This window comes from Homo sapiens, chromosome 3, assembly GCF_000001405.40.
Source record: "Homo sapiens chromosome 3, GRCh38.p14 Primary Assembly".
Lineage (NCBI taxonomy): Eukaryota > Metazoa > Chordata > Mammalia > Primates > Hominidae > Homo > Homo sapiens.
Genome location: NC_000003.12, coordinates 130,804,366 through 130,813,287, shown reverse-complemented (window position 1 = coordinate 130,813,287; position 8,922 = coordinate 130,804,366). Strand labels below are relative to the sequence as shown.

The 8,922-nt window shown below is 40.3% G+C and overlaps 1 long non-coding RNA gene and 1 pseudogene across 1 annotated transcript in view; both read left to right on the top strand.

Annotated features, from left to right (window-relative positions):
* Positions 1-8,922, top strand: part of LOC107986023 (uncharacterized) — a 142,619-nt gene that overhangs the window by 80,634 nt on the left and 53,063 nt on the right. The gene's annotated exons all lie outside the window — the stretch shown is intronic.
* RN7SKP212 (RN7SK pseudogene 212) lies at positions 1,193-1,520 on the top strand (annotated as a pseudogene).

The following is an 8,922-nucleotide window of genomic DNA, read 5'->3' as shown; positions in this document are numbered from 1 at the left end:
ATGCCACACTGTCTTGATTACTGTAGCTTTATAGTCATTGTGAATTCTCCAAGTCTGTTCTTTTCTAAGATTATTTTTGTTCTTCTGGGTCCTTTGCATTGACATATACATTTTAGCATCAATTTATCAATTTTTGTAAAAAGAAAGCTATGATTTTTATAGGGATTGTGCTAAACCTATAGATCAATTTGGGAAGTATTGCCTTCTTAGCAACATTAAGTTTTCCAATCTGTGAACATGGAAATGTCTTTCTATATTATTTAGGCCTCCTTTAATTGCTTTCAGTATTTTTGTAGCTTTCAGTGTTCAAGTCTTCTACTGCTAAACTTATTAGTAAATACTGTATTTTATTCTTTTTGGTGCTATTGTTAATGGATATTGTTTCTTAATTTCATCTTTGGACTGTTTATTGCTAGCTTATAGAAATACAATTTACTTTTGTATATTAATCTTACATCCTTAAACTTTGTCAAACTCATTTATTAGTTCTAGTAGTTTAAGTGGATTTCTTAGAATTTTCTGTATATAAGATTATGGCACTTACAAATAAAGAATGTTTTATTCTTTCTTTCCAATATGGATTCCTTTTACTTCTTTGTCTGGCTTAATTGTCCTGGTTAGAATCCCCACTACCATGTTGAATGGAAGTGGCGAGAATGGACATCCTTATCTTATTCCTGATCTTTGGGGGAAACCATTTATTCTTTCATCTTTAAGTTTAATATTAGCTGTGGGTTTTTAGTAGATGCCCTTTATCAGGTTGAGGAAGTTCTTTTATATTCCTAGTTGCTTGAGTATTTTTTATCACGAATGAATGTTGCCTCACTCTCTTCTTGTCTTAGCTGAAATGCTGCATTCTCAGAAAGGTCCACTTTGGCCTCTCTATTTAAAGTATAATCTGCTTCCACCCACCCATGTCCCTCACCTTACTCTACTTTGCTTTTTTCCATTATAGCTGTAATCATCTTCTAATATACCAATGATTGTACTTATTTATTTATTTTTTACTGTGTCCTTTTGCTAAAATACATGCTCTATAAAGCCAGACATCATTTTCTGGTTTTTTTGTTTGTTTTAACTGATGTATCCCAAATGTCTTGAGTGATGCACATAGCAGGAGTTCAATAAATATTTGTTGAGTAAATATATTAATATAAAATGCTTGAGAACAGCATTTTTCAAATAGTAATATGGCTGTGAGGGTGATCTGGTTGCAACATCTGTCACCCCATTGATCACCAGGGTTGATCTGGCTGATCAGGCCGGCCAGGCTGGCTAGGAGGGTGTCTCCTTCCCTCTCTGCTCCATGTGCATCCCTCCTGAAGCTGTACATGTAGAGGAAGATGATTACCTTTCTTGAGAGTAGAGGACCATTATTTGATCAAGGGAATATGAGTAGCTGCACTCCCCTGCTAGACTCTCTAACCAAGCTCTCAAATAGTAACCACTACATAATTTTTTTTTTCCTGCAGTGAGAGAGCAATTCAAACCTAGTGCTAAAATCATCTTATTGTCCAGATCCACAGGTCCTTGCCAAAAATGCTTTTAAGCTTCCTGAATGCTTTTTTCTTAAACCACTAGGTATAAAAAATTTCTCTTACCATCGGGAGCTTTGGTTTCATTACAAAATAAAGAAGGCCGGGTGCAGTAGCTTATGCCTATAATCCTAGCACTTTGGTAGGCTGAGGCAGGCAGATCACTTGAGCCCAGGAGTTTGAGACCACCCTGGGCAACATAGCCAGACCCCATCTCAAAAAAAAATAATAATAAAATAAAATAAAATAAAATAATCTTCCTATTTACTTCATAGATGGCATGAAAATGAAATGAAATAATATGTCATGTGTGATTCAAACTAGATAGAAGTTTCTGTCTCATATAATAATCTAGCACATTCAGGCCTCTCTGTTCTGTGAGGCAGCCCAGGCATCATGTTTCTACTATCTTGTTGTTTCTCAACCTCCTACAGTATTGCCTCTTGTATCACTTAGGTATTGATGCATAACAAGCTACCCGAAAAGTTAATGACTTAAAACAATTTTTTTTTCTGCTTATTGTGGTTTTTAGGTGGTTCAGATATTTAGTCTGAACTCAGCTATATGGTCTCTTCTACTGATATCATCTGGGATCACTCATGCAGCTGGACTTATCTGGTGGCTTGACTGGGGCTGGATGATCTAAGTGGCCTACTTACTTGCTGGGTATCAACCAGGCATCTCTCTCCATGTGGTCTGTCATCATGAAGGAGGCTAGGCCAGGTGTTTTTACATGGCAGTCACATAGCAGTCACAGGGTTTCAAGAGAGAAAAAGTAGAAGTCATATGGTACCCTGAGACCTCTTGAGAGCTCTCCATAGGTCAGCTGAGGCCTCAGTTAAGAACACATTGCAGGCCAGCTTCTCCCTCTTCCCAATTCTGCCCTTCTCACACCCTTCCCATGTATCTTGTTTATTTATTTATTTTTTAATTTTTTAATTTTATTATTATTATACTTTAAGTTTTAGGGTACATGTGCACAAAGTGCAGGTTTGTTACATATGTATACATGTGCCATGTTGGTGTGCTGCACCCATTAACTCGTCATTTAGCATTAGGTATATCTACTAATGCTATACCTCCCCACTCCTCCCACCCCACAACAGTCCCCAGAGTGTGATGTTCCCCTTCCTGTGTCCATGTGTTCTCATTGTTCAATTCCCACCTATGAGTGAGAACATGCAGTGTTTGGTTTTTTGTCCTTGTGATAGTTTGCTGAGAATGATGGTTTCCAGTTTCATCCATGTCCCTACAAAGGATATGAACTCATCATTTTCTATGGCTGCATAGTATTCCATGGTGTATATGTGCCACATTTTCTTAATCCAGTCTACTGTTGTTGGACATTTAGGTTGGTTCCAAGTCTTTGCTATTGTGAATAGTGCCACTATAAACATATGTGTGCATGTGTCTTTATAGCAGCATGATTTATAATCCTTTGGGTATATACCCAGTAATGGGATGGCTGGGTCAAATGGTATTTCTAGTTCTAGATCCCTGAGGAATCGCCACACTGCCTTCCACAATGGTTGAACTAGTTTACAGTCCCACCAACAGTGTAAAAGTCTTCCTATTTCTCCACATGCCCCCCAGCACCTGTTGTTTCCTGACTTTTTAATGATCGCCATTCTAACTGGTGTGAGATGGTATGTCATCGTGGTTTTGATTTGCATTTCTCTGATGGCCAGTGATGATGAGCATTTTCTCATGTGTTTTTTGGCTGCATAAATGTCTTCTTTTGAGAAGTGTCTGTTCATATCCTTCACCCACTTTTTGATGGGGTTGTTTGTTTTTTTCTTGTAAATTTGTTTGAGTTCATTGTAGATTCTGGATATTAGCCCTTTCTCAGATTAGTAGGTTGCAAAAATTTTCTCCCATTCCGTAGGTTGCCTGTTCACTCTGATGGTAGTTTCTTTTGCTGTGCAGAAGCTCTTTAGTTTAATGAGATCCCATTTGTCAATTTTGGCTCTTGTTGCCATTGCTTTTGGTGTTTTAGACATGAAGTCCTTGCCCATGCCTATGTCCTGAATGGTATTGCCTAGGTTTTCTTCTGGGGTTTTTACAGTTTTAGGTCTAACATGTAAGTCTTTAATCCATCTTGAATTAATTTTTGTATAAGGTGTAAGGAAGGGATCCAGTTTCAGCTTTCTACATATGGCTAGCCAGTTTTCCCAGCACCATTTATTAAATAGGGAATCCTTTCCCCATTGCTTGTTTTTCTCAGGTTTGTCAAAGATCGGATAGTTGTAGATATGCGGCATTATTTCTGAGGGCTCTGTTCTGTTCCATTGGTCATATCTCTGTTTTGGTACCAGTACCATGCTGTTTTGGTTACTGTAGCCTTGTAGTGTAGTTTGAAGTCAGGTAGCATGATGCCTCCAGCTTTGTTCTTTTGGCTTAGGATTGACTTGGCGATGCGGGCTCTTTTTTGGTTCCATATGAACTTTAAAGTAGTTTTTTCCAATTCTGTGAAGAAAGTCATTGGTAGCTTGATGGGGATGGCATTGAATCTATAAATTACCTTGGGCAGTATGGCCATTTTCACGATATTGATTCTTCCTACCCATGAGCATGGAATGTTCTTCCATTTCTTTGTATCCTCTTTTATTTCATTGAGCAGTGGTTTATAGTTCTCCTTGAAGAGGTCCTTCACATCCCTTGTAAGCTGGATTCCTAGGTATTTTATTCTCTTTGAAGCAATTGTGAATGGGAGTTCACTCATGATTTGGCTCTCTGTTTGTCTGTTCTTGGTGTATAAGAATGCTTGTGATTTTTGCACACTAATTTTGTATCCTGAGACTTTGCTGAAGTTGCCTATCAGCTTGAGGAGATTTTGGGCTGAGATGATGGGGTTTTCTAGATATACAATCAGGTCATCTGCAAACAGGGACAATTTGACTTCCTCTTTTCCTAATTGAATACCCTTTATTTCCTTCTCCTGCCTAATTGCCCTGGCCAGAACTTCCAACACTATGTTGAATAGGAGTGGTGAGAGAGGGCATCCCTGTCTTGTGCCTGTTTTCAAAGGGAATGCTTCCAGTTTTTGCCCATTCAGTACGATATTGGCTGTGGGTTTGTCATAAATAGCTCTTATTATTTTGAGATATGTCCCATCAATACCTAATTTATTGAGAGTTTTTAGCATGAAGGGCTGTTGAATTTTGTCAAAGGCCTTTTCTGCATCTATTGAGATAATCATGTGGTTTTTGTCTTTGGTTCTGTTTATATGTTGGATTACATTTATTGATTTGTGTATGTTGAACCAGCCTTGCATCCCAGGGATGAAGCCCACTTGATCATGGTGGATAAGCTTTTTGATGTGCTGCTGGATTCGGTTTGCCAGTATTTTATTGAGGATTTTTGCATCAATGTTCATCAAGGATATTGGTCTAAAATTCTCTTTTCTTGTTGTGTCTCTGCCAGGCTTTGGTATCAGGATGATGCTGGCCTCATAAAATGAGTTAGGGAGGATTCCCTCTTTTTCTATTGATTGGAATAGTTTCAGAAGGAATGGTACCAGCTCCTCTTTGTACCTCTGGTAGAATTCAGCTGTGAATCCATCTGGTCCTGGACTTTTTCTGGTTGGTAAGCTATTGATTATTGCCTCAATTTCAGATCCTGTTATTGGTCTATTCAGAGATTCAACTTCTTCCTGGTTTAGTCTTGGGAGGATGTATGTGTCGAGGAATTTATCAATTTCTTCTAGATTTTCTAGTTTATTTGAGTAGAGGTGTTTATAGTATTCTCTGATGGTAGTTTGTATTTCTGTGGGATCGGTGGTGATATCCCCTTTATCATTTTTTATTGCTTCTATTTGATTCTTCTCTCTTTTCTTCTTTATTAGTCTTGCTAGTAGTCTATCGATTTTGTTGATCTTTTCAAAAAACCAGCTCCTGGATTCATTAATTTTTTGAAGGGTTTTTTGTGTCTCTATTTCCTTCAGTTCTGCTCTGATCTTAGTTATTTCTTGCCTTCTGCTAGCTTTTGAATGTGTTTGCTCTTGCTTTTCTAGTTCTTTTATTTGTGATGTTAGGGTGTCAATTTTGGATCTTTCCTGCTTTCTCTTGTGGGCATTTAGTGCTGTAAATTTCCCTCTACACACCGCTTTGAATGTGTCCCAGAGATTCTGGTATGTTGTGTCTTTGTTTTCATTGGTTTCAGAGAACATCTTTATTTCTGCCTTCATTTCATTATTTACCCAGCAGTCATTCAGGAGCAAGTTGTTCAGTTTCCATGTAGTTGAGTGGTTTTGAGTGAGTTTCTTAATCCTCAGTTCTAGATTGCACTGTGGTCTGAGAGACAGTTTGTTATAATTTCTGTTCTTTTACATTTGCTGAGGAGTGCTTTACTTCCAACTATGTGGTCAATTTTGGAGTAGGTGCGGTGTGGTGCTGAAAAGAATGTATATTCTGTTGATTTGGGGTGGAGAGTTCTGTAGATGTCTATTAGGTCCGCTTGGTGCAGAGCTGAGTTCAATTCCTGGGTATCCTTGTTAACTTTCTGTCTTGTTGATCTGTCTAATGTTGACAGTGGGGTGTTGAAGTCTCCCATTATTATTGTGTGGGAGTCTAAGTCTCTTTGTAGGTCACTAAGGTCTTGGTTTATGACCAAGGACTTGCTTTATGAATCTGGACTTGCTTTATGAATCTGGGTGCTCCTGTATTGGGTGCATATATATTTAGGATAGTTAGCTCTTCTTGTTGAATTGATCCCTTTACCATTATGTAATGGCCTTCTTTGTCTCTTTTGATCTTTGTTGGTTTAAAGTCTGTTTTATCAGTGACTAGGATTGCAACCCCTGCCATTTTTGTTTTCCATTTGCTTGGTAGATCTTCCTCCATTGCTTTATTTTGAGCCTATGTGTGTCTCTGCACATGAGATGGGTTTCCTGAATACAGCACACAGATGGGTCTTGACTCTTTATCCAATTTGCCAGTCTGTGTCTTTTAATTGGAGCATTTAGCCCATTTACATTTAAAGTTAATATTGTTATGTGTGAATTTGATCCTATCATTATGATGTTAGCTCGTTATTTTTCTCGTTAGTTGATGCAGTTTCTTCCTAGCCTTGATGGTCTTTACAATTTGGCATGTTTTTGCAGTGGCTGGTACTGGTTGTTCCTTTCCATGTTTAGTGCTTCCTTCAGGAGTTCTTTTAGGGCAGGCCTGGTGGTGACCAAATCTCTCAGCATTTGCTTGTCCATAAAGGATTTTATTTCTCCTTCACTTATGAAGCTTAGTTTGGCTGGATAGGAGATTCTGGGTTGAAAATTCTTTTCTTTAAGAATGTTGAATATTGGTCCCCACTCTCTTCTGGCTTGTAGAATTTCTGCCGAGAGATCAGCTGTTGGTCTGATGGGCTTCCCTTTATGGGTAACCCGACCTTTCTCTCTGGCTGCCCTTAACATTTTTTCCTTCATTTCAACTTTGGTGAATCTGACAATTACGTGTCTTGGAGTTGCTCTTCTCGAGGAGTATCTTTGTGGTGTTCTCTGTATTTCCTGAATTTGAATGTTGGCCTGCCTTGCTAGACTGGGGAAGTTCTCCTGGATAATATCCTGCAGAGTGTTTTCCAACTTGGTTCCATTCTCCCTGTCACTTTCAGGTACACCAATCAGACGTAGGTTTGGTCTTTTCACATAGTCCCATATTTCTTGGAGGCTTTGTTCATTTCTTTTTATTCTTTTTTCTCTTAACTTCTCTTCTTGCTTCATTTCATTCGTCTTCCATCGCTGATACCCTTTCTTCCAGTTGGTCGCATCAGCTACTGAGGCTTCTGCATTCGTCACGTAGCTTTTGTGCCTTGGTTTTCAGCTCCATCAGGTCCTTTAAGGACTTTTCTGTATTGGTTATTCTAGTTATCCATTCGTCTAATTTTTTTTCAACGCTTTTAACTTCTTTGCCGTTGGTTCGAATTTCCTCCTGTAGCTCGGAGTAGTTTGATCTTCTGAAGCCTTCTTCTTTCAACTTGTCAAAGTCATTCTCCATCCAGCTTTGTTCCATTGCTGGTGAGGAGCTGCGTTCCTTTGGAGGAGGAGAGGCGCTCTGATTTTTAGAGTTTCCAGTTTTTCTGCTCTGTTTTTTTCCCATCTTTGTGGTTTTATCTACCTTTGGTCTTTGATGATGGTGACGTACAGATGGGTTTTTGGTGTGGATGTCCTTTCTGTTTGTTGGTTTTCCTTCTAGGAGACAGGACCCTCAGCTGCAGATCTGTTGGAGTTTGCTAGAGGTCCACTCCAGACCCTGTTTGCCTGGGTATCTGTAGTAGTGGCTGCAGAACAGCGGATATTTATGAACCACAGATGCTGCTGCCTGATCGTTCCTCTGGAAGTTTTGTCTCAGAGGAGTACCTGGCTGTGTGAGGTGTCAGTCCACCCCTACTGGGGGATGCCTCCCATTTAGGCTACTCGGGGGTCAGGGACCCACTTGAGGAGGCAGTCTGCCCGACCTCAGATCTCAAGCTGCGTGCTGGGAGAACCACTACTCTCTTCAAAGCTGTCAGAGAGGGACATTTAAGTCTGCAGAGGTTACTGCTGTCTTTTTGCTTGTCTGTGCCCTGCCCCCAGAGGTGGAGCCTACAGAGTCAGGCAGGCCTCCTTGAGCTGTGGTGGGCTTCACCCAGTTCGAGCTTCCTGGCCGCTTTGTTTACCTAATCAAACAACTAACTCGGCAATGGCAGGCGCCCCTCCCCCAGCCTAGCTGCCACCTTGCAGTTTGATCTCAGACTGCTGTGCTAGCAATGAGCTAGACTCCATGGGCATAGGACCCTCTGAGCCATGTGCGGGATATAATCTCCTGGTGTGCTGTTTTTTAAGCCTGTTGGAAAAGCACAGTATTAGGGTGGGAGTGACCCGATTTTCCAGGTGCCATCTGTCACTGCTTTCTTTGACTAGGAAAGGGAATTCCCTGACCCCTTGTGCTTCCCGAGTGTGGCGATGCCTTGCCCTGCTTCGGCTCATGCACGGTGCGCTGCACCCACTGTCCTGCACCTACTGTCTGGCACTCCCCAGTGAGATGAACCCGGTACCTCAGTTGGAAATGCAGAAATCACCCGTCTTCTGCATTGCTCATGCTGGGAGCTGTAGACCAGAGCTGTTCCTATTCGGCCATCTTGGCTCCTCTCCTGCCATGTATCTCTTAAGAGTACCTCCAATAAGTATTTTGCACACAACTCCCTGTTTCCAGAGAACTGATCCAAGACATATTTGAAATTACATGTGCATAAGGATAGTTTATAATAGCCGAGGATTGGAAACAACATAAATGCCCACAGAAGCAGACAGGTTAGATGGACTATGTGGCCTGTAAAGAGAATTATATATATCTCTGAAAATAATACTTATGGTAAAAGATATTGAGTAAAAAGTGCTTACTTTTTACCAGGCACT